Raw genomic sequence first — 26,614 nt, 5'->3', positions numbered from 1 at the left:
CCTGAAAGTGACGGGGAGAATGGAACCAAGTTGGAAAACACTCTGCGGGATATTATCCAGGAGAACTTCCCCAATCTAGCAAGGCAGGCCAACGTTCAGATTCAGGAAATACAGAGAACGCCACAAAGATACTCCTCGAGAAGAGCAACTCCAAGACACATAATTGTCAGATTCACCAAAGTTGAAATGAAGGAAAAAATGTTAAGGGAAGCCAGAGAGAAAGGTCGGGTTACCCACAAAGGGAAGCCCATCAGACTAACAGTGGATCTCTCAGCAGAAACTCTACAAGCCAGAAGAGAGTGGGGGCCAATATTCAACCCAGAATTTCATATCCAGCCAAACTAAGCTTCATAAGTGAAGGCAAAATAAAATCCTTTACAGACAAGCAAATGCTGAGAGATTTTGTCACCACCAGGCCTGCCCTAAAAGAGCTCCTGAAGGAAGCACTAAACATGGAAAGGAACAACCAGTACCAGCCACTGAAAAATCATGCCAAATTGTAAAGACCATCAAGGCTAGGAAGAAACTGCATCAACTAATGAGCAAAATAACCAGCTAACATCAAAATGACAGGATCAAATTCACACATAACAATATTAACTTTAAATGTAAATGGACTAAATGCTCCAATTAAAAGACACAGACTGGTAAATTGGATAAAGAGTCAAGACCCATCAGTGTGCTGTATTCAGGAAACCCATCTCACGTGCAGAGACACACATAGGCTCAAAATAAAAGGATGGAGGAAGATCTACCAAGCAAATGGAAAACAAAAAAAGGCAGGGGTTGCAATCCTAGTCTGTGATAAAACAGACTTTAAACCAACAAAGATCAAAAGAGACAAAGAAGGCCATTACATAATGGTAAAGGGATCAATTCAACAAGAAGAGTTAACTATACTAAATATATATGCACCCAATACAGGAGCACCCAGTTTCATAAAGCAAGTCCTGAGTGACCTACAAAGAGACTTAGACTCCCACACAATAATAATGGGAGACTTTAACACCCCACTGTCAACATTAGACAGATCAACGAGACAGAAAGTTAACAAGGATACCCAGGAATTGAACTCAGCTCTGCACCAAGTGGACCTAATAGACATCTACAGAACTCTTCACCCCAAATCAACAGAATATACATTTTTTTCAGCACCGCACCACACCTATTCCAAAATTGACCACATAGTTGGAAGTAAAGCTCTCCTCAGCAAATGTAAAAGAACAGAAATTATAACAAACTGTCTCTCAGACCACAGTGCAATCAAACTAGAACTCAGGATTAAGAAACTCACTCAAAATCACTCAACTACATGGAAACTGAACAACCTGCTCCTGAATGACTACTGGGTACATAACAAAATGAAGGCAGAAATAAAGATGTTCTTGGAAACCAACGAGAACAAAGACACAACATACCAGAATCTCTGGGACACATTCAAAGCAGTGTGTAGAGGGAAATTTATAGCACTAAATGCCCACAAAAGAAAGCAGGAAAGTTCCAAAACTGACACCCTAACATCACAATTAAAAGAACTAGAAAAGCAAGAGCAAACACATTCAAAAGCTAGCAGAAGGCAAGATAACTAAAATCACAGCAAAACTGAAGGAAACAGAGACACAAAAAACCCTTCAAAAAATTAATGAATCCAGGAGCTGGTTTTTTGAAAGGATCAACAAAATTGATAGACTGCTAGCAAGACTAATAAAGAAGAAAAGAGAGAAGAATCCGATAGACACAATAAAAAATGATAAAGGGGATATCACCACTGATCCCACAGAAACACAAACTACCATCAGAGAATACTACAAACACCTCTACGCAAATAAACTAGAAAATCTAGAAGAAATGGATAAATTCCTGGACACATACACCCTCCCAGGACTAAACCAGGAAGAAGTTGAATCTCTGAATAGACCAATAACAGGCTCTGAAATTGTGGCAATAATCAACAGCTTACCAACCAAAAAGAGTCCAGGACCAGAAGGATTCACAGCCGAATTCTACCAGAGGTACAAGGAGGAATTGGTACCATTCCTTCTGAAACTATTCCAATCAATAGAAAAAGAGGGAATCCTCCCTAACTCATTTTATGAGGCCAGCATCATTCTGATACCAAAGCCTGGCAGAGACACAACCAAAAAAGAGAATTTTAGATCAATATCCTTGATGAACATTGATGCAAAAATCCTCAATAAAATACTGGCAAACTGAATCCAGCAGCACATCAAAAAGCTTATCAACCATGATCAAGTGGGCTTCATCCCTGGGATGCAAGGCTGGTTCAATATACACAAATCAATAAATGTAATCCAGCATATAAATAGAACCAAAGACAAAAACCACATGATTATCTCAATAGATGCAGAAAAGGCCTTTGACAAAATTCAACAACGCTTCATGCTAAAAACTCTCAATAAATTAGGTACTGATGGGACGTATCTCAAAATAATAAGAGCTATCTATGACAAACCCACAGCCAATATCATACTGAATGGGCAAAAACTGGAAGCATTCCCTTTGAAAACTGGCACAAGACAGGGATGCCCTCTCTCACCACTCCTATTCAACATAGTGTTGGAAGTTCTGGCCAGGGCAATTAGGCAGGAGAAGGAAATAAAGGGTATTCAATTAGGAAAAGAGGAAGTCAAATTGTCCCTGTTTGTAGATGACATGATTGTAAATTTAGAAAACCCCATTGTCTCAGCCCAAAATCTCCTTAAGCTGATAAGCAACTTCAGCAAAGTCTCAGGATACAAAATCAATGCACAAAAACACAAGCATTCTTATACACCAATAACAGACAAACAGAGAGCCAAATCATGAGTGAACTCCCATTCACAATTGCTTCAAAGAGAATAAAATACCTAGGAATCCAATTTACAAGGGATGTGAAGCACCTCTTCAAGGAGAACTACAAACCACTGCTCAATGAAATAAAAGAGGATACAAACAAATGGAAGAACATTCCATGCTCATGGGTAGGAAGAATCAATATCGTGAAAATGGCCATACTGCCCAAGGTAATTTACAGATTCAATGCCATCCCCATCAAGCTACCAATGACTTTCTTCACAGAATTGGAAAAAACTACTTTAAAGTTCATATGGAACCAAAAAAGAGCCCGCATCGCCAAGTCAATCCTAAGCCAAAAGAACAAAGCTGGAGGCATCATGCTACCTGACTTCAAACTATACTACAAGGCTACAGTAACCAAAACAGCATGGTACTGGTACCAAAACAGAGATATAGATCAATGGAACAGAACAGAGCCCTCAGAAATAATGCCACATATCTACAACTATCTAATCTTTGACAAATCTGAGAAAAATAAGCAATGGGGAAAGGATTCCCTATTTAATAAATGGTGCTGGGAAAACTGGCTAGCCATATGTAGAAAGCTGAAACTGGATCCCTTCCTTACACCTTATACAAAAATTAATTCAAGATAGATTAAAGACTTAAATGTTAGACCTAAAACCATAAAAACCCTAGAAGAAAACCTAGGCATTACCATTCAGGACATAGGCATGGGCAAGGACTTCATGTCTAAAACACCAAAAGCAATGGCAACAAAAGCCAAAATTGACAAATGGGATCTAATTAAACTCAAGAGCTTCTGCACAGCAAAAGAAACTACCATCAGAGTGAACAGGCAACCTACAAAATGGGAGAAAATTTTCACAACCTACTCATCTGACAAAGGGCTAATATCCAGAATCTACAATGAACTCAAACAAATTGACAAGAAAAAAACAAAAAATCCCATCAAAAAGTGGGCGAAGGACATGAACAGACACTTCTCAAAAGAAGACATTTATGCAGCCAAAAAACACATGAAAAAATGCTCACCATCACTGGCCATCAGAGAAATGCAAATCAAAACCACAATGAGATACCATTTCACACCAGTTAGAATGGCAATCATTAAAAAGTCAGGAAACAACAGGTGCTGGAGAGGATGTGGAGAAATAGGCACACTTTTACACTGTTGGTGAGACTGTAAACTAGTTCATCCATTGTGGAAGTCAGTGTGGCGATTCCTCAGGGATCTAGAACTAGAAATGCCATTTGACCCAGCCATCCCGTTACTGGATATATACCCAAAGGACTACAAATCATGCTGCTATAAAGACACATGCACACGTATGTTTATTGCGGCACTATTCACAATAGCAAAGACTTGGAACCAACCCAAATGTCCAACAATGATAGATTGGATTAAGAAAATGTGGTACATATACACCATGGAATACTATGCAGCCATAAAAAATGATGAGTTCATGTCCTTTGTAGGGACATGGATGAAATTGGAAATCATCATTCTCAGTAAACTATCGCAAGAACAAAAAACCAAACACCGCATATTCTCACTCATAGGTGGGAATTGAACAATGAGAACACATGGACACAGGAAGGGGAATGTCACACTCTGAGGACTGTTGTGGGGTCGGGGGGAGTGGGGAGGGATAGCATTAGGAGATATACCTAATGCTAAATGAGGAGTTAATGGGTGCAGCACACCAGCATGGCACATGTATACATAGGTAACTAACCTGCATATTGTGCACATGTACCCTAAAACTTAAAGTATAATAATAATAAAATTAAATTAAAAAAAAGAAAGAAAAAAATAAAAAATAAAAAAATAAAAGTGTTAGTTTCTCTGAAAAAAAAAAGTAGAATTCTCTTTTCTTCCATAGTTTTTATATTGTACTTTTATTACTGTGCAATCACAAACTTGTCTTTCATAAGATTCAGCATTAATGAAACTATTCTAGTCACCATTGAGTTCTATTTGTCTCCAGGGCAATAATATAAGACAACGGAGGGTTATTAACCTGGAATAAGATCAAAAGGACACTAGTCCAGCTTAGCGGACAGCTGCTTAAAAGAAAACCTTGGTAGACATCATGCCTTGCCTTGTTGTCACACCCAGAGACCAGGTTCTTGACTCTACTAGCACTATCAATATTCTATTTATTTTCATTAAGCAGTGACATGGTGAGTATTTGGATACTGTCTGATATGGTTTGGCTCTGTGTTCCCACCCAAATCTCACCTTGAATTATAATAATCCCCACTTGTCAAGGGAGGGACCATGTAAAGATAATTGAATCATGGGGGCAGTTTCCCCCATGCTGTTCTTTTGATAGTGAGTTCTCATGAGATCTGACACTTTATAAAGGGCCTTCTCCACACCTTTGCTCTGTACTTCTTGCTGCCGCCATGTGAAGAAGGACGTATTTGCTTCCCCTTCCACCATGATTGTAAGTTTCCTGAGGCCTCCGCAGTGCTGCAGAACTGTGAGTCAATTAAATCTCTTTCCTTTATAAATGACTCCATCTTGAATATATCTTCATAGCAGCGTGAGAATGGCCCAACACCACGTGTAAGCTGCCAAGGCTTGGGGCTTGCACCCAGTCTGTGTTACCAAGGTGAATAACAAAAGAAAGACTGCTACCATGGAAACCTACCTGATGGCCTTTGTGGTGAGCTCCTTGCTACTTGAATACTAGCAAATGCCACACAATAAAGGGCTGATCAATGTTAGGCATAAAGCTTCTATACAAGAGCACTGATTATTAACTTTAATGACTGCCTTGAACATTGCAATCCGAGGCAGCATTATTCTTGTCCAAACTCATTATTAGATAAGCACAGGGGAACTTGTTTTAAGATACACTTTGGTTTGCAAAGCAAGAGTCAACTTATGGCCATCTCCCAATATTTGTCTTTTATAAAAACAAGCTACACAGTTAGTTTAAAGATACATGAACTTAAACTATTAACTTGCAGTGAGCTGAGATTGTGCCACTGCACTCTAGCCTGGGTGACAGAGCGAGACTCCGTCTCAAAAAAAAGAAATAAATAAAATAAAAATAAAAATAAAATAAACTATTAAAAGTGAACTAAGAAGCTGGATCATTGCCAGCTACATCTCAATAGTTTGTCCTCACCTCATTTGTATGTGTCAGACATTTATTCTTCTCCATGATGCCTTCTTCATGGAAAATTCATTCAAAGGCTTACAGTATACAATTTAAAAAATATAGCTCTATTTTCTGTGTGTGGCTATTTTAAAGAATTTATTTGGTCAAGTCAAGCAATATCCGTATTAACTCAATATGCTATAAAAATCAAGACTTTCCTTAATTTAGTAATTTTTAGAAGTATACATGGTCAAATTTTAATTAACAAAAATAATTTAAAAGGTCTTTGAAAGCAATGGTTAGGGAAGGCATATCACTAGTAGTTTTTAATTTTTTCTTTTGAAAAGGGACTTACACCCTCTTCTGATGTCTATCAGGGGTTATCTCTAATGCTAGATTACACTGGGAATCCTGGCTGGTAACTTATTCTTTTCTACCTGTGTGCAACTGGGTAAATAGACTCTTGCCTCTTTCCAGTTGTGTTCTAGAAACCATCATTCAAGAGTGGAGCGCCAAATGTGGACAAAGAAAACGGGAGAATTGCAAAGCTAATATTTCTGAAAGATTTATGTTTAACTTTGATAAAAACTTGTCCAGAAATACAAACAAGTATGTTTTGACAAACATTAATTACTCCAGTTCTCTATTTTTAAAAGTGCAGAAATTCATCTCTGAAGAATTTCCACTGCCAATGTGTTGGAGTGACATGCTCATTGGTCCCCAGTCCTAGTTCTCAGCATCTTCAACCCTCATAGATCCATGTTTCTGAAAGTATGCACCACTCATTCACTGATTTATTCCTTTAAAATTTATTGAGCCCCTCTTAGGCAGCAGGCATCATGCCAGACATGGGGCTCATCTGGTGAATGTCACAGTGCTTGCCCATAAGATTCTAGCCCGGTGGTGGTGCACGGTGGATGTTTCACAGCAGTGTCAGAAATGCTATGATGGGGTGAATGGAGGGTGCCACTTGAAAGGGGCACCTGACACTGACTCAGAATGTCAGGGAAAGCTTCTGGAGGATGTGACATCTGATCTCAGACTCAAGGTTAGATTGGGAATGGCAGTGAGACCTGGAAGGAAATTATCTAGGCAAAGAGAAGAACACTGCAAATCCCAGAGGTGAGTTCGTGGAACTACAAGCAGTTTAGCAGAGCTGATGTGTGGCGTTCTGAGAAGAGGCAGAGCCTACTGTTGAAGAGTTTTGTGTGTCATAAATTACATGACTGTGCAGCATCATACTGTGGTTTTCGAATTCAATCAGACCCTCTCAGTGGCTTGAAATCCCTCTGCTACTCATTTCTCTCTTTAAGCATATGGGTATTTCATAACTTCAAACTTCCATCTTTAGCCAAAAAGAAACAAACCAAATGTCCATCAATTGATGACACCTGTAACAGGCTCTGTTTGACACCTTCAGTAGCCCAGCTATGTGTACTGCTATTCCAGCCATGCTGTTCCTGTAATGCTTCTGGTCATATACTGCTGGTAGACTTAGATGATTGTGGCACCCACACAATGCCCTTCTATGACAGTTACACCTGCCCTATGTCATGCTATTTCTCGACTCTGCTAGCTGAGACTTGGAAGAGTATTCCTAAGGACTGTGAGAAGAAGAGATTACAGTTTCATTATCACAGCAGAGAAGAAATTGTACATGATGCTAAGGAGAAGTGGTACTGCTCTGTCCTGGATGTCAAACAGGAGCTACCATTGCTTACCATCTACCCTGGAGAAGACCACTAAGCTCCCTCACAGTCAGTTGATCACCTCTGTCAAGGAGAGAGTCATAGACCCAGAAGTTCTTTTCAGCCATCCTCCTCAGGTATGAAAGCAGTGGCACTCAAGATAGCACTTCCATGTCACCCATGAGATGTGATGCTTATATTAGAAAAGATCTATATGCCAACACAACACATCCCATCTGGTCTGGTAGTACTACCATGTGTCCTGCTATTACTGGCTTTAGAACACAGACAGATGTCACAGCCTTGGGAAAAAAAAACACAATAAAAATTAAGATTTCCCTTCTTCTGAGTGCACATACTGTGGCTAGCGACTGTCTTGACCTTCCAGCAGATGTGGAATAGCAAGCAAGAGTCTGATGAGTTTGACCTGCCCATTGCCCACTGCAATTTTAGAGACAGTCTTGCTCTGTTGCCCAGGGTGGAGTGCAGTGGCACAAGCATACTATACTACAGCCTCAAATTCCTGGGCTCAAGCAATCCTCCCACCTCAGCCCCCTGATTAGCTGGGACTATTAGCTTGCTATGTTGTCCAGGCTGGGTTTTGAACTCCTGGGCCTAGGTGAGCCTCCTGACTAGGGTTACAGACATGAGCCACCACACCTGGCTACTTTTAAATGGATAGCATCTTATATTAGACTTATCTACTTGGAAGATGCCTTTTTAAAAAGATACCTGTCTTTGTCTGATAGGCAAATAGCACTGTTTCACCTTGTATTCATATTAACTATTTCTTTATAATACATTTTCTAACATTCTTTACATATCTTTGGCTTAAGTTTAGCATGTGTGGCTAGACACTTTGTGTGGCAAAGGGAGAATAAGGGGAACATGTTTATAGAAGGCACTTGGCCTGATGTGATGGGTCTTTGGCTGACTGACAATTTCTTTCAAGCTGTTCACTCCTCTAGGGCCTGATCAGATCTCCACAGAGTACAAATGACAATTCCTGGATTTCTCCAGAGGCTGGCAAGAATTTATGAATGAATTGTCACTTCTTTGTTGCAGTCTTCCAGCAGAGGTAGAAAACGTACATAACCCAGGCTCTAGGACTCCATTTTCTTTCTTATCCAATGTTTTTTTTTTTTGCAGCAGAATGTCACAGGGCTAAATTACTCATTCTAGTTGCAAAATGATTTGTATTTTTACCTGTAAATTTATGCATCATTTTAATTTATGTAAGAGTTTTGTACGTAATTCTCAGCTTTATGGGTGACTTACACATCTTGTTTTTCTACTGTTGCGTGAGAATATCACAGCCCAAGGATACGTCATTGTGCAAGGAAGAATAAAAGTGCTACCAGAAAGAAAAAAAAATACCCAAACTGGAAAAAATAAACTATTGAAGACTTTTAAGTAGGAGGATTGACAGGATAAAATTTGCATTTTAAAAAAACTATCTGGCTGAGACATGAAAATTGGAGGAGAGGCAGTGTATGAAAGCTTGCCAGGAGGGCTAGAGCATCAGAGAGTATGAAGAATGGGGCCTCCCAAGGAGGCTGAGTAGGAGCAGTGTTACAGGAAATGGGCCAACCACTCTACCAATCAACCAATCACCCAACTAAGCAACCACCCACCCAACCAACCACCCAACCATCCAATCACCCAGCCATCCAACCACCCAACCATCCATCCAACCACCCAACCATCCATCCAACCACCCAAGAAACCATCCAACCAACCAACCAACCAACCAATCATCTAAATAACCACCCACCCAATCATGAAATAACCAGTCAAAGAAGGATGCTGTAGAAAGGAAAAATGAAAACAGTTTTGGTGGGGAGAGTTGAGGTGGAATATATATTGCAGTGACAGGAGGAGGGCAAAATGTCAATGGGTCCAGGTGCACTGAACTGCTTTGGCTCCCTGACTATGGTTTCCTCTCCGTTGCTTCTAGGCCATCTGCTTTTTCTGCCTGGGACACTTTTATCCTGGACCTTCACAAAGCTAACTCTTATTCACCCTCCAAGAGGCAGCTTACATGTCATTTCCTCCGGGAAGCCTTTCAGAACTCTCTAAGTCTGGGTTAGAGAACCTTCCGTAGACTCTATTTTCCTCTTGCAAATAGCAGTTATCAACTGGATGACTATTGCTTTTTAGTTCCCTGTATCCTTCAATAGACTGTAAGCTCCTTGAGGACAGAGCTGAAGCTTCTTCCATAGTCTACCTCCTGCACCTGGCATAATGCCTGACACCTGGTAGGCACTCAATAAGTGCTTGTTTGAGAGAGTTAATGAACTTTGTCACCAGTCAAGATGTACCCAGATCTTTCAGAATATTGGAGAATTAAAATATTACAATAACAATAAGCCAGTTGCTTCTCTTACTTTGAAAATTATTAGGGAAATGGGTCTACTTACATGTACAAAGTCAATGTTTTATATGGCTATTTTAGATCAAGTTTCTCTTGCCATTTCCATCCCATAACAAGCAAATGGTCTTTTAGGCTATAAATTTCTGTTGACTCTTGGGGTATAAGCTCATCTCTGGCACAGATAACTCTTCATCTGAATTGTTTACTTTTAACCAGATTTTAATGTGTGCCTCTGTTGGGTGCTGTGGGAGATACAAATGCCTGGGGACTGGTTTCCTCTCAGTTACTGTCAGCTGTGGGAACCATCTGCTAAAGGTGGGACTGGGCAGGATAGGGGTCCCTGTGAAGATGCTCACATACATGTACCCTCCCATGCAGCCCACAAGAGAATATGTTCTGAGTCTTCAAAATGCTCTCATACTCTCAAAGACACCAAGAAGGCACCCCTCGGGGAAATGAAGAGGTTATGATTTTGCTAATTAATGAATATTTCCTCTATGTGGAATGTTTTTATTGCCTGAACTAGGTCATCTCTCCTATAGGATGTCAGTCACTCTGGCAAGGAGCGCAGTCTGTGAGGTTTCTGCTACAACTTTATCAGCTTCAGTTGGCAATTTAAATGAATCAGGCAGGTGGGAGAAGAGACAATAAAGCTGAAATTCAATATTGGAGAAATGGATGGCAGGGGTGTCGTAAACCCTTTATATGGTTACCATTGAACTAAGTGTAAGAGAGGTAGGGGTGTGTGTGTATGTGTGTGCGTGTGTGGGTGTGTGTGTATGTGTAATATATATTCATTTTCTCTATTTGCTTGCATCTAAAACCCACTGTTGCAATTTCTCTTATTAAAGTCTATCTTAGAAATATTTTCTGTGGCATTTTATTGATGTAATGTCTAAAGAAAATGTGCTTGGATTAACTCTTAGAATACTGGAGACAAGGAAGCCCTCTTTATTTTCTTTAAGATAATTTGAAGTGCTAATTCTCTTTCTTGCTCTAGATAGTGAAGGGAGGGGACTTTGGGGGCAGACTTTGGAGAAAGAGTTAATCAAATAACCACAAAACTTCAACTATTTTTTAAATCCCCTGGCAGAAATCAACAGATTATAGTAGTGTAGCACAGAGAAGCTGAACCAAGTCTGGAGAATCAGAGAGGGCTTCCCCGAGAAAAAGAGTTAAGTTGAGGCCTGAAAGAGGAGCAGGATTTGAAACTAACACTGGTGCGAGACATGACTGGGGGAGAGGTGGGATTTGTTTGTGGCACAAAGAAAGTGAAAGCTTTGAAGGTGGATGAAGCTTATTGCTTTTGACAATCAGAGAAGATCACTGTGTCTGGAGCTAGCAAGCAAAAGGGAAGGAGGAATATGATGAGGCCAGAGGTCAGCAGGGGTCCGGTAATGCAGGGCCCCCTAAAACATGTAAAGGAATTTTGGTTCTTATCTTGAGGAGCAATGAGAAGTCATCCACAGTCTTGGAGCAAGGGAGTAGCATGATGACATTTGTTTATAAAAGATTACTCTGGGATCCTTTGGATAGACAGTTCTAGCAGTGGTTGAGAGGAGAGATAACTGAGGCTTGGACCATAGTGTTGGCAGTGGAGATGGAGCAAAGCATAAAGATTCTACAAGTACACTGGAGGTACAGAACTCAGAAACTGGTGAACAACTGCCTGGAGTGGGCCCAAGAGAGATGGGTTGAGGATGTCTCATAGATTTCCAGCATAAACAACTAGTTTTGGGATGATGACAAGGGGATGCAGGTTTGGGGTGGGATGCAGACATCTGGCATGGCATGAGGTTGGTTTGCAGTTGCTAAGTGAGTAGATATGGAGTAGGTTCAGGAGAGAGGTATGGGATGGAGTTCCGAAATGGAGGCATTGCAAACACATGTGGATGGGTTTACCTAGGGAGAGTGGGTAGTAAAACAAGAGGACCTGGAAGTGAGCTCTGAAGAATTCCAACACTGAGGTTTGGGGGGAGTTGAAAGAGCCAGCAAATGAGGCTGAGAGGGATCATCTTCAGAATGGAGGGAAAATAAATGGTTACAACACCTAAATCAGAGGAACAGAGTGTATCAGGAAGAGGGGGGGTTTGTTTTAGTATCAAATTGCTGAAATGTCAATTGAGAAGAGGTCTACAGAGCATTCCATAAATTCAGCAAAGGAGAAGTCACTGGTGACATCAGCCAAAATTTTGCTAAAGTAATGACAGCTGAAGCCACAGTACATTCTCTGTGTGAGTTACTGTCCTATGCATTTTACATATACTAAAGAGTAGTATTAGTTTAATGGTAATGCCAATCTGATGAGAGACTTATTATTATTATCCCATTCTACAGATGAGAAAACCAAGGCACAGAGAGGTTAAGTGACTTGGCCCAGTTCATATGGCAGAAGCAGAATACAGGCTTAGGCAGTCTGGCTCATGAATCCACTATCTCAACCACTATACCACCTTGTCTCTAAGCCTTTGCGGTGTGAGAGTAGAGACAATGCAGACAACTCTTTGAAGGCACTCAGCTGTGAGTAGGGAAATAGGGAAGCAGCTAGATGTACAGGGGCTGGTCCAAGAAGAGCAATGTTGTAAGGTGGAGACTAGGACTACAGTGTGTTCAGATGCTGATTGAAAGGATCCAGCAGTGAGACTGAACTTACAGGAGAATGAAGTGATGGGCATGAATGGGGTCCCAGGAGAGGTAGAAGGGTATGAGGCCAGAGTCCAGAAGGAAGGATTGCTTGCTGAAAAACATAGAGGCCCTTTTCCTATTGTCTCAGGAGGTGAAGAGAGGATGGGTGCAGAAATGATGTTTGTAGGGGGAGATCGAAGGAGTCCCTGTTTAGAGTCTTTTATCTTCTCTGTGAAATAAAAGGCCAGGCCATCTGCTGGGAGGACTGGGAGAGTGAGGTGGAGGTGGAGGGGAGTGGATAGAGATGGCTGGAGAAATCCACAGGAAAATTGCCAAGTAGCATCAAGAGCACAAGCAGCATCACACTGGTGATTTGGGCAGACTATGGGGAAAAGAAGCAGTGGTGTAGGCATGGCTGTAGGGAAGCTGGGGAGTGGGGGAAGGATCATAACCACATAAAACATGACTTCAGGGTGGGGCAAGGTTAATAGCACATGGGGAATTCTAGTTCTTCATGTACTCCCAGAATGTCTGAGAACCAGCTGTTGGGGGTAGGAGAACAAAAAACTCAGAATAATAAATACTGGGGATTGAGACAGATTATATACACAAGCCTTTTCTGTCCAGATGCAGGTCTAAGAAGCTGATTTGACCAACACCCAAGTGGACATTCTCAGGCACCAAGGGCAAGACATACTCTCTGTTGTCAGGCTTTCAACTGCCCAGATAGACTTTTCCTTAGAAGATGAGAAAATAGTGCATTCTCAGCACAGTGCTTGTAAAAATACGCAGATTGGAATAATGGGAAAGCAATGACATTCTCGAATCTCATGGGAAAAGCAGAGCTCCGGAAATAACTTAATATATGAACCATAAGAAAATTTCAGAAAACTCTTTAACTTTCTCAATAGGTTATGAAGAGCCACACATGCTGTAAAGTAGGACCAAAGCCCGTATGAAGAACAGAGGATAAAATGAAAATAAAATAAGGGTGGCGGGGAAGAGAGAGAGAGAAAAAAAGAAAATGAGCCTTTCTCCTAGGGTCTCTGCAGGCATTCAGGAATTTTGTCGCCTAAGAGGAAGGGAAGATGCTCTCATTTCCTGAGCATCCCTATGGGCTCATTAATCCTCACAACTCTGTGAGGCAGGCATTCTTTCCCATTTTAAAGGTGGTAACAATGAGGCTAAGAGAGGATAAGTAATTTGCTCAAAGACCCGAGGAAGACGGGAACTAAACAAGGAGCATCTAACTTCAAAGATCTAGACTTCTGCCTTCCAGGGTAAGGTTCGTGAGGGAAGAAAGTTGCAGAAAGAACTAAGCTGAGGCTCTCTTAGGATGGAGTATTCCTAGCGTATAAACAGAACAACAATGGCCACTGGAACTGAGTGCCAGTTAGGTGCTGGACATTGTATACCCATTTTTCTGATGCTCACGGCAATCCTGCCTGATCACTATCATCATGCTTTTTTTGTTTCGGATAAGGAAATTGAGGCCCATAGAGATTAAGTGATTTGTTCAAGTATTCGTTTTTTTCTTGCTACTATGACACATTGCCACAGACTTGTGGCTTAAAACAACACATATTCATCGGAGAATTCTACAGGTTAGAAGTATAACATAGGTGTCACTGAGCTAAAATTAAGGTGTCAGCAGGGCTGAGTTCCTTTCTGGAAGCCCTAGGGGAGAATCCCTTTCCTTGCCTTTTTCGGCTTCTAGAGGGGGCCCTTGTTCCGTGCTCACAGCCCCTTCCTCTGTCTTCAAAGCCAGTGACGGCAGTTCAAGTCCTTTCTCCACTGCATCTCTCTAACTGTCCTTCGGCAGTCATGTCTCTCTCTGACCACAGTTGTGAATGGCTCTCCACTCTTAAGGATTCATGGGATTAGACTGGGTCCACCTGCAAAAGCAGGCTAACCTGTCCATCACAAGGTCCTTACCTTAATCACACCTGCAAAGTCCCTTTTGCCACATGCCATGTCAGGGAACATATCCACAAGTTCTGGGGATTTTAGGATGTGGATATCTTTGGGGGCTTGTGGTGAGCATTATTTTGCCTTCCATACCAAGGTTAAACATTATTAAAGGGGCTGAGTCCAGGGTTTAATTTAAATTTGGCCAGGAAATCCTATTGACCCTACCTTCAAAATATATCCAGAATCCTATTAACGCCATTTCTACCACCAGGGTCCAGGCCACTTCATCTCTTATCAGGATTTCTTCTATAGCCTTCTCTTCTCTTCTCCTTGTTCTACCCTTGCCTTCAATCCACTCTTAACACATTGGCCAAAGTGATTCCTTAGAAATGTCTCAGTTCATGTCAAGTCTCTGTCCAAACCTTCCAATGACTGCCAATCTGAATTAAGGACAGTCTTTCCAGTGGCCTCTAATGCTCTCCTTCCCTCACCCTAGGAGCTCTGTGCACTCTCCCTCACTCTGCTTCAACACACAGTGGCCTTCTGCTTTCCTTGAACACAGCAGGCTTATTGCTGGAACCCTGAATGGGAGGGGGGTTTACTTATTTATTCCATGCACTCTAAGACCCTGAAGTAGAAGAGGAGGACGTGGACTGGTTCTGAGATGCCTCTTTCCTTTCTGGCGGGGGAAATGGAAGAAGGATGAATATCTTCTGACTTCACTGCCTGTGCTTATGCAAGGGGCTTTCCCTGTCATTGGCAAATCCCTGCTTCCCACTGATTAGTGCTGTGAGGCTGAAGTCCAGGTGCTCACCTCTGCGTCGGGTGCATAAGTGTGAGGTTTGCAGGGGTCTCTGAAGGGTTTCTGAAATGAAGAGCTTCCTTATGTGGGGGATCTGGCTGGCTCCAGCTAGACCTCTTTAACACCCCCTGGCTCCTGTCCAGGGCAGCACACCCCATGGTTTCCTGCTGCTGGAAAACTCTTGCCCAGGAGCCATTCTTTCTTGGGTGGGCCACCATCAAGACAGCTCAACTCCAGCAACCTTCCTCTATGTCAAACCAGATCTACAAGAAACTTTGACATGTACAATGATGGGATCACAGGCGGCTTTACAGCTCCCCCTCCCTCTGCCCTGCCATATCCTTCCAAGACTCTTTTCCTTGCTTAAATAGGAGATATAAGGAAGGCTAACGAGTCAGCTTCCTAAATTCCTGCCTCATAGCTATTATTTACCAGGGATTCTCTTAGAGCCTCACACTTGGCTTTGGTCAGTGTGGAGAGGCCCTTCCTTCCCCCAACAGCTCCCCTAGATCCAAAACTCAAGACTGCAAAGACCCTGTCCCTCTTCCCCATCTTGGGAAGAGGGTGGGGAAGACGGGCATAGTGAAGCATGGATGGCCTTGGTGATAGTAAGTGAGCAGAGTCCTTCGGCTGTCTCTTGTAAGCCCCAAGAAAGGTAGCTCTCTTCAGAATGTGAGATACTTATTGTTACAGCAGGTAGCTAGTCAGACGTGAAAGGGCAGGAGAGCATCCCCCTGCCACCCCCCAACAAACAAGAATGTCAGGCAACCATCAGGTGATGGTCAGTCGGTTGTTGTTAAAACTGCCTCTCTAAAATAATAATTGGTTGCAGCTGGCACCAGGGAAAGGCAGTCTCCCAATAGAGAAAGACACCTAAAGCTCATGATCAACAGCTTCCTGATAAGATCTCAGGAGTTGGGTGAGTGGGCTCAGTCATGCACACTAAGAGGAAAAATGGTGGAGTTTAATTGTTATATGACTTTCCAGGAGCATTCAACTGGTAAGGGGGGATGCCTCAAGTGAGCATGCGCGCAACTCCGGTAAACACACTGCGCATGCGGCCCCTGCCAAGTGCTGGCAGGCCACTGTGCATGTGGGCAGCCCACTCCAAGGAAAGAATCAGGGAGAAAGGAACACAAGACCCCGGAAGCACGCCAACACATAACACACCAGGTCAAAGGGTCAAACTGCACACTTGATCTCCCAAGTTGCCCACTTGACCCTCTTCCAAGTGTTCTTTACTTCCTTTCATTCCTGCTCTAAAGCTTTTAAATAAACTTTTACTCCTGTTCTAAAACTTGCTTCAGTCTCACTCTGCCTTATGCCCCTTGGTCAAATTATTTCTTCTGAGGCGGCAAGAACTGAGGTTGCTGCAGACCCATACATATATGCCGCCAGTAACATTATCACCTTCATTCATCTTGGACTCGGTTCTCCAATGCCAGAAAATCAGAAAAATGTACACAAACCATTACAGATGTAAAAGTCAACAGCTATGGTGGAGTGAAAGATTCAAGTTGAATAGAGAAAAATGTCATCTGCTGGTCAAAGAACACGTGTCGGCCAGATTTGTTTAACTGGTGAAGAAACATCTGATTAAATGGAAGGAATTGAATGTGGTCTAAAATTTCATTTTCTTAGTAAAGAGGGTACACATTTTTTCCTAAAAATTTTACTCATTCATGGCTAAAAATTCTAAGACTTTAAAATTTGAGTACACTCTTATTTTTATGTTTGAGAATTTTTTCTCTGGCTTACAAATACTGTATGTAAATAAAAAATAATGTATGTTTCCAGCAGAAACTTGAGGTACAAAACCATTTCAACAAGAAGCCAAAAAAATCATCCAAAATTGCCCAGTTAGGAGATAATCAAATTTTGTGGGAGATAGAATTTTGACATGAAATAATTTAGGAATGATCATAAAAGAATGAACATACTTCATTCTGTAAACCAAAAATAAAATTCTAAGCCTCTCAACCAACTGAATGGACCCCCTCTGGGCCAAGGGGACCCTAGAGAAACCTGAAAAATGGAACTCACAGCCATTAGGGGAAGGCAGGTTAGACATGCCTAATTGTACCCTCTCCTTTTTGGAGTTTAGGCACAACTGACCAGGATTAACATTAAAATAGAGATCATAAGACTGACAAAACAAACTCTTTGGGGCAATAAGATTCCACATTTCAACCTGATTTTGATGTAGCATCACATAACAGATAGGAGGTCCTGAAGGAAATCAAACATATTTTAGCCCAAAATATATTTCTTTGACATATTTTGAAATGGCTCTGCAGAGCCATCTTTTGTGGGGGATCTTTGCATTTGTAGAGAGTCTCCATTAATACAGCCAGGACCTTCCTGGATCTAGGAGAGATTAACAAAGAGCCTGATGCCATTTAGGGTCTGAAAAGAGACATTTACCATCCATTCTCTCTGAAGGCTGCCACGTATGAGGCTTCATCTACATAACAAGAACCTTGGTCTCCACAACCTCCCTTATCTTAACTCAAGCATTTCTTTCTACTGACTTAAAGTCTTTAGACAAAGCTTAACTCTTTCAAACAACTCCCAACCACAGAAATCTTTGAATTCACCTATGACTTGTAACCACCCACTACTTCTTTGAGACATCCTACCTTTTCAGGTCAAATCAATGCATACCTTACAGGTATAGATTTATGTCTTTGCTTGTAACTTCTGTCTCTTTAAAATGTATAAAACCAAACTGTAACCCAACCATCTTGGGCACACTTTCTCAGGACCTCTTGAGACTGTTTCCTGGGCCATGGTCACTCGTATTGCCTCAGAATAAACCTCTTTAAATATTTTACAGAGTTTGCTTTTTCCATTAACACTTCTGACTTGACTTTGTTTTATTTTCTGTGTTGGAAAGTTATTCAGTGAACACATTTGGGGAAATGAGATTTGGAATATGGAATTTGTTTAAAACCACTAGGGTGCAGAGACAACAGACATCTCTATTTTGCTTTAAATACACTCACAGCAGTTGACAAGGAATATTTATCCATAAGTGGAAACACCCAGGATCCATTTTGTCCCCTTCACTAAGGCCTACTTGCTCTTGATGTGTCCTGGGTTGAGAGATCAGCACGTATTATACATGGCTTCTGAGATCTCACATGGGCTCTGATTGAATGAGAAACCCCTGAAGGAGGGAGAATAGCCAGGGGCTGGAAGAAGACTCCTTAGGAGAGAGACCATTCTTGAAGCTTTGAGGGTGTACATTTCCTAGGGTCTGAGTTGGTTTCCTCTTTCTGTATCTTGCAGACTGAAAGGCAGAGCAATGAGAAGCAGAACTGCAGAGACAAGGATTCCAGGTGCTTGGAAGTGAGGGTGGAGCCAGCCCGGGAAAAGATTCAGCCCCAGACGGCTGCACCAGGTGGAGCAAAGATGTCTTCTCTTTTATACATGTCAACTAGAAGGTGACAAGAGACAGGAGCCCATGATCTTAAAGCTCCCTGTGTTACCCAGCACCCCTGTAAGATTTCCTAATCATTCTTTTATAATTAAAAAAAAGATATTTTCATATCCCTTAGAGTTGTTTATGACTATTAAAATTGTTTTTGATTTTGTGCAAGTGATCCAGAATGAGTAAAAAGAAGAGAAAACACTTATGGTAACTAAAATTCTCAAGCCTTGAAAAGGAAACATTACTGTTTATACTACTATTTGTTGAGAAGCATCTCAGGACTGATAAATAGCAAATATAGATTTTTTTTTTTTTTTTTTTTTTTTTTTACTGTAGTCAGGCATTGTTCTATGGGCTTTATATACAATAACAGTGTCTTTCCAACTATGGGGTACATTCTGTCCTCCTCTCTGTTTTACTTCTGATTAAGCTAAAGCCTAGAAATGTTTCCAACCCAGAAAGTGGCCTCAGCTACCAGGCTTGGCTGGTTCTTATGTATTTCTTCTAAACAAAATAAAAAACTCACTATGTTCATTCATAGAGTTACTCTTCACACAGCAAGGGCAGTGGAGGGTCCGGTTAACAGACTACAATCTGCAGCCACACAATGGGGCTTGCACCGTAGTTCTGGCAAGAGTCCAGTGGCTCACCCTGGGCAAGTCATGTACTCTTTCTAAACTTCAGCATACTTCCCTGTAAAATGGGCAAGATCATGCCTATCTCTAAGGACTGTTTGGGGAACTAAATAAGATAATATTTGAACTGAACTTGGCACAGTGTCTGGCTCAAAGGAATGGTACCCATTATGATTCCTGATACTTAAACTCTTATATCAGACACCAAGGAGACCTCTGTATGTATCCGGAATGCTAAGGGTCCTCTCATTGATTAGGGAAAATCTCACAAACGGGGTGCAGAGAAATGTGTGTGTGGGAGGGTTGATGATGGAGGGGGGTGTCCAGGAAAGGAGTTAAGAGCTTCCCACAAATGGACAGGTGATGTTTGGGCTGGGGGAAAGAGAAACATGGCAGGGAGGCAGAAGTCATCACGGAAGGAGACCGGGATGGCCTTTAGATGCTAAGCTTGGGGAGGACTGCAACGGGGCTGGGAAACAGAACCACCGAGAATGGGAGCTCAATGGGAACCAGTCAGTGGGGAAAGTCCAGGTATCCCTTACTTTCTCTACTCTCACTACCCAAACCTGGGAAGAGAATAGATTCAGATGCGGAGGGCCACTGGATAGCAAGTTAGAGTCCCAGCAAAACAGCCAGCAGCCTGGTCAGCCCCTGAGGTATAGATTTAGCTCAACCTTACTCAGTATTGCACAGGCCATCTATTTCTTTTATAATTTACATGTGATGAGAGGAATGCTTTCTTTCATCTTGGCATGGGGCTCTGGAATGTCCAGTTACAACCCTGGTATGCTATCAAAAGATTTCATATCCCGAACCTTTGGCTGTTGTGTCACGGGTATGTCGGCCCTAACATAGTCTGAAAGGAAGCAAAAGCCAGTACCTTTTTGATAACAATTAAAATCTTGGATTTACATAATGGGACATGACGTGAGGGCCATTGTTTAGCATTTGGCACAGTTATGAATGCCCAGGGCAGAACACCAAAGGAAAAAGTCTACTTTGAATGCTTTCTCAGAACAAATCTGAGAGAATTCACTGGTTAATGTAAATACATGTCCAAACAAGTACTGGTTTGCTTAGGGAGTACGCAGAGCTGGCAAGCCTCACTTGGCATGCAGAGAATGAGTAATGCTTCATTTTAATGAGGGATCTTGGGGGTCTATAATGAGGACTATGTGGTATTTCCCATGTGTCTCTTTGGAACGTGGACTGATTCTACCCACAATGGAAGACAGGCCATCAGAAAGTACATAGTTCCTGAAATCTCTGGGGCTCTACAAGATGCAGATAATTTAATAGCATATAAATGAATTTGCAGAAATATACCTAGAGTTCCCAGAGTAAAGAACTTGCCTTTTCCACAGGTAAGCAAATATGAGTGCAAAGTAACAAGACCGTATTTGGGGTGGGGGTGGGATGCGAGACTGATTTTTAAACTATGGCTATAGGAAGTTCCAGGTATGTTTTAAACATCTGTGGCATCCCTGGAATAATTGTGCAGCCTCCCTACTTGACTATTCTGAAAGATAACACTCATTTGAATATAAGTTCATATGTATAAAGGACATAAATCTATTTTTAAGACACAACTTTAGTCATATTGCAGGTGTGAGTTCTGATCATTTGGACATTTTTTATCAGAGAAAGTCAACACTTAAGGTTTTGGATGAGGCAAAAAACTTAGAAAGTAATTAGGAAAACAAATACTTCCCTAGTCCTTGCAAGTGGTCTTTACTAGTTGATGGAGGGGCCAATGGGAGAAGCTTATTTATTTATTTGTTTATTTTTGAGACAGGGTGGAGTGCAGTTGCGTGATCTCGGCTCGCTGCAACTTCTGTCTCCCGGGTTCAAGAGATTCTTAACACCTCAGCCTCCCGAGTAGGTGGGATTACAGGCGCCCACCACCACACCTGGCTAATTTTTTGTATTTTTAGTAGAGATGGGGTTTCACCATGTTGACAAGACTGGTCTCGAACTCCCGGTCTCAAGTGATCTGCCTGCCTGGGCGTCCCAAAGTGCTGGGATTACAAGCGTGAGCCACAGCACCCAGCTGGGGAGGAGCTTTACCACATGGTCGTAAAGCTCCTCCCAGCTGGACGCGGTGGCTCATGCTTGTCCACATGGACATCCTCTGGATGTCCCCTTATATCCAGCCACAGGGTGTGACTTCCTGAAGCAAATCTCCTTTCTGCTCAGATTTGGGGCATCATGTGATTGTTTATGCAAAGTGTGTCAGGTACTGTAGTGACCTTTATTTTATTTTTCAACTCCAGCTGGAGCAAGATGCTCCATGGAGATAGGGCCTCCCAAAGAGCTCTAGGATTTGGGGGGATTAAGTACAATTGAGGGGTTTTTGGAAGAACACTATCCAGTCCTTTGGGCTTAAAGGAGGGGATGGTGAACCAGAACTCAGGACAAAAGAGTCCCAAGAGGCAGAAATGCTGGCAGGAGGGACCTCCTCTGTGCGTGTTAATATGTCAAAGAGGACTTGGAATTATAAAGAGAAATAAGAAATTCTCTATGTTAAGATAAATAATTTTTGAAGTGTTAAAAACCTGATAAGAACTGAAATTAATGTGAAGTAGACTCGCCAGGCAAAAATTCTTTTATCAGATAAATTTGGCACCTCACACTTGGATCTGAATTGTGCACAATAGATCAAATGAAGATTTCTTGTGGTTTATTTATCCCAATATTTAAAAACAGAACAGTTTAATGCATTCTCCATGTAACAGTTAATTCTGGAGTAGGTTTTAAATGGACCAGGGAAAACATACATTTTCACTTGTTTCCTAGTAAGTTTTAAGTCATTGCTCTAAGAGGTCACTTCTGTTCTCATTTGTGTTTGCTGCAACTCCCCTGCCCCCCAACAAAAGCAACAACAACAAAATCCCAAGCAAAAAAGCCCTTAAGCAATAAAACCGGTGTCCAACAAAAACATTTAGTTTGAAAAAGAGTTGAAAAATGTAGCCTTGGAAGAACCACTGCTTACATGGGATTGTTCAACAAATTCCTGTTGTGTGAGGTTTGGCATATACTTTCTAAAAATATAAGCATCTGGGGAAACGAGACAAAGCCCAGGTCTTGGACCAAATGCGGCACACAGCGTGAATCTGTTAGTGATTATATCCATAATGAAATATGTGCCCAAATTTAGCAGTGCAAAATCTAATACAATAAGAAAGCCCAGCAGGCATGGTCCTTACCATAATATATAGCCAACAGAGAAGGTACATATGGCGGTAAGTCCGCTGCTCCTGCTGGGATACTGATGGTGCGATGTCCTCATCTCGATTAATATAAAGGGCAGAACCGTCGTGTGCTGGAAAATAACAGAGACTAGGTGACACAGATTGCTATCATTGTCTCTCTATAGTTGTTTTTTCACCAGTAGGAGAATGCACACTATAAATTCCTAGGAAAGTGTCAGGCAGAAAGAAGTCTATGGCTCGCCAAAGAAGTAGAATGGACGTAAAACCACATAGTGCGTTGATTGCTCCATTAATATTTTTCTTCTGTATCTTAATTTTTGAAATTTTATTGTATTTTATGCCCATTACAGAGAATTTTGATAACCTAGAAAAATGTCTAAGAAAAAACTGGAACCAAAGAGAGGAATAACAATCACCACTGTTAACATTTTGGTGTACGTCCCATTTTTTCCCTCCCTGTTCATATTACTTAAACACAGTTAATATCATACTGTGTGTGCAATTCTGTTTTGGATTTTTATCATAATATTGCAGCATGAGAATTTTTGATATGGTAGTTTAGAAATTCTTCCAGAACATCGGTCTTGACCATAGCTTTGGAGAACTCCATTATATGGATATACTAAGATTTATTTAACCAATTCTTGTTCTTGGATATCAAGATGCAAAAGATTTTCAACCTTTCATTTATTAAAAACATCATGATGAACATCTTTCGTAGAACTCTTTGTCCAAATGTTAAATTATGTTTTTATTGTCAAAGGCTATATGATTTTAAGGCTGTTGATAAATAATGCCAAATTATGTGTGCACGAGCAGCAGGTTAGCAAACAACGCCAAATCAGCTTCCAGAAATGGTGTGCCAGTTTGGACCAGTAGTGCATGAATTTAGACATGATGTCTGAAGGCAGAATCCCAAGAAGCTGAGTAGAACATCTTTTTGTTTTTCTGATTCAGTGATTACTCTAGACACTAAGTTTATTGGAACAGGATGGAGATGAAATTTATCCCATCTATAGGTAAGAAGAAAGGAAACTAAAATTCTTAAACCTTTCAGATATTCAAATGCCCTTGGTTTTGAAATTTAGTGGACAGATAAAAGGAACAAAGAGTTTCTAAGATAAAACTGGGCCAGGATATATATTTACCTTCCAATACTGGAGACTTTCTCAAGAGTATAAAGATGGCAGAACTGAAAACTGACCCATCAGCAGGTTTAAATTCTATTTAGTACTTCCTAAACAGCCGTGAAAGAATCGTTGCCTTGCTCTTCCTGTATTATTTGTGTATTCAAGGAAAAGGCAGGAAATTGAATATTATGATTTTCAAAGTCTAATAAGCATTCTAGCAAAATAGAACCAGGTGGCAAGTAGGCCTTGGCAGGCAAAAGGCATGTTGGGGATATCTAAATGAACATCTTAGGAGCAACCTATTGTTTATATTCCTAGAAAAAAATAGAAAGACATGATTTTGTAAGAAATATTAAGACAGTGGATGATCTTTGCCTTAAACATTCTCCTCTAGATAACTGTGCTGACTGCCAATACATTAGTAATTAGAGTGTGGCATTCTGAGAAAATCAGGTGAGTGATTCCACAGTTGGGTAGCTTTATATTTCTTTATCTTTTATCTTCTTTATTACTATTTTTTTAAAACAGTATAATTAGCTCTGAAGAAAGTCATGCAAGCCAATGTACATGTGTGCTAGTACAGAGACAGTATGCATTTTAAAGATCTATTGGTTTTTCATTATAATCTAGTTACCTCAGATGACATCGGCCTGGAATGTCGCCAACAGTTTGAGATGGCAACAATAGTTTTACAATGGTGCATTCACGCAAAATTCAAATATACAGCTAGCAATAAGGCTATGTCTTATCAAATCTTACATAAAAGAAAAATACCTGCAGATCAAACCTTTACACTGATGATAATGCTGACCCTGAGGGCCTGTGTGGATCATAAATGACAATGACATTACTTTTGGATCACTGATATTAATAAATTTCTTAAGTTCTACCCTTCATTCATTGCTCCAAATGAAGTAGAAAATCCTCCATTTTTAAATAAATATATATTGGTTGTATAAATAACCAATCAGAATATGCTTATTCAGTTGTCATTATTTTATCAAGGAAAGTGATAAAATGTATGCATATCTTCCAGATAGGACATCTGATACTTGCTGATGATCAGATGTATCTGGGAGAATCAGGATGTACTTTAAACCATTCCAGGAAGAAAATCAATTTGAAAAAGGAATATCTTTCTAGATCACTTCATCATTGGTGTCATCACCACTAAACAGGAGCAACTTGTCCCATCAGTGACATAACCACAGACAAAAGATCTTTTTGTGGCTAGCTGTGCATGTGCAGGTTTGTCCAGTGGCAAATCTTAGTAGAAGGTTTTTCTATGTCATAACAGCTTATCATTTGGAATTTTCATGCACTAAAGACTGTGTATCTCCCTCTCTAGAAATTTATAATGCAAATTATGTTTATTTATACATAGTACGTATTAACAAACATAAATTAGCAGAAAATACCTACTGCAAATATAAATGTTGCCTTACAGATAACTAAAGTTTTGTGAACTAAAAGAATGGTAAAAAACTATGAATGGTCCTGATGAATAAGTAACCTTTAGCAGTTGAGTTATAACTTAAAATCTATAGCAGCAAGAGAGATAATTATTTTAGAACTACAGCTACATGAAATCCAGTTCCAACCCATTCTCAGGCAATACTCTGCTTCAATGACTTAAGAACCAGGAGGGAAATATTTAACTCCAGTTAAAATCATCACTGCATAAGAACAGCACTCTTAGTGTTTTGCTCACTGTGGTATCTGCAGCACTTAGAAAAGAACCTGGCACAAGAGAGGTACTCAGTCAATATTTTTCCAGATAATTTAATCTTCAAAACAACATCTTATATGGATATTATTAACTCCATTCTGCAGATGGGGCAAAAAAGGCTCAGAAAGGTTAATTATCTTGCCTAAGATCACAGAGCTAGTAGGTCTGGAGGTAGGATACAAAACTAGTTCTGTATGCCTCCAAATCTCATGCTCTTTTTTCTGCATTAGTATTATATTTTTAAAAGATATCACAGTTGAATAATGTTTGAATCAATAAACCTGTAGAAGTGCATAATTGCAGATCACTTACATTATCTCCCAACAGATTGGAATTATTTTTTGGTTGGGCCTCAAAACAAATAAAAAGGTCTTCACTGTAAAAAATGATTTTTGCTAAATATGTCTTTCCTGTGATATATTATCCAATCAATAATAATAAACAATAACATTAGCTAGCATAAAGTCAGAACTTTTTTTTAACTTTTATTTTAGATTTGGGGATACACGTGAAGGTTTGTTACATAGGTAAACACACGTCATGGGGTTTCATTGTACGTATTATCTCATCACCCAGGTATTAAGCCCAGTACCCAATAGTTATCTTTTCTGCTACTCTCCCTCCTCCCAACCTCCCCCTCAAGTAGACCCCAGTGTCTGTTATTTCCTTCTTTGTGTTCATAAGTTCTTATCATTTAGCTCCCACTTATAAGTGAGAACATGCGGTGTTTGGTTTTCTGTTCCTGCATTAGTTTGCTAAGGATTACAGCCTCCATCTCCATCCATGCTCCTGCAAAAGACGTGATCTCACTCTTTTTTACGGCTGCATAGTATTCTGTGGTGTACAGGTACCACATTTTCCTTATCCAATCTGTCACTGATAGGCATTTAGGTTGATTCCATGTTTTCGCTATTGTGAGTGGTGCTGCAATGAACATTTGTGCACATATATCTTTATGGTAGAATGATTTCTATTCTTCTGGGCACGTACCCAGTGATGGGATTGCTGGGTCTAATGGTAGTTCTACTTTTAGCTCTTTGAGGAATCGTCATATTGCCTTCAACAATGGGTTGAATTACACTCCCACCAACAGTGTATAAGTGTTCCCTTTTCTTCGCAACCTCACCAGCATCTGTTACTTT

General features: G+C 40.7%; 1 protein-coding gene across 20 annotated transcripts in view, besides 2 other annotated features; it reads right to left on the bottom strand.

Moving 5' to 3' along the window:
- AIG1 (androgen induced 1) overlaps positions 1-26,614 on the bottom strand; it is a 284,671-nt gene that overhangs the window by 37,051 nt on the left and 221,006 nt on the right. For 18 of the 20 annotated variants that reach the window (NR_158896.1, NR_158960.1, NM_001286587.2 and 15 more), the window contains one exon: positions 22,608-22,723. The exons of the other annotated variants lie outside the window; for them this stretch is intronic. Coding sequence is in view for 16 of the 18 variants with exons in the window: in NM_001286587.2 (NP_001273516.1) it covers positions 22,608-22,723 (116 nt within the window). In the remaining 2 variants the exon portion in view is untranslated. The remainder of the gene's footprint in view (positions 1-22,607; positions 22,724-26,614) is intronic. 20 annotated transcript variants of the gene reach the window in all.
- Positions 7,109-7,158: an enhancer, noted in NCBI's record as "active region_25196". NCBI's record gives its function as "activates an Ori minimal core promoter by ATAC-STARR-seq in GM12878 lymphoblastoid cells {active_cell/tissue: GM12878}" and the evidence as "EXISTENCE:reporter gene assay evidence [ECO:0000049][PMID:35858748]".
- Positions 17,305-18,188: an enhancer, noted in NCBI's record as "OCT4-NANOG-H3K27ac-H3K4me1 hESC enhancer chr6:143609782-143610665 (GRCh37/hg19 assembly coordinates)". NCBI's record gives its function as "activates a minimal SCP1, AML or CMV promoter by ChIP-STARR-seq in naive H9 embryonic stem cells {active_cell/tissue: H9 hESC(naive)}" and the evidence as "EXISTENCE:reporter gene assay evidence [ECO:0000049][PMID:30033119]".

The sequence above is a fragment of the Homo sapiens genome, chromosome 6 (genome assembly GCF_000001405.40).
Source record: "Homo sapiens chromosome 6, GRCh38.p14 Primary Assembly".
Lineage (NCBI taxonomy): Eukaryota > Metazoa > Chordata > Mammalia > Primates > Hominidae > Homo > Homo sapiens.
The sequence above is the reverse complement of the archived record's forward strand: the minus strand, read 5'-3'. Positions and strand labels throughout refer to the sequence as shown.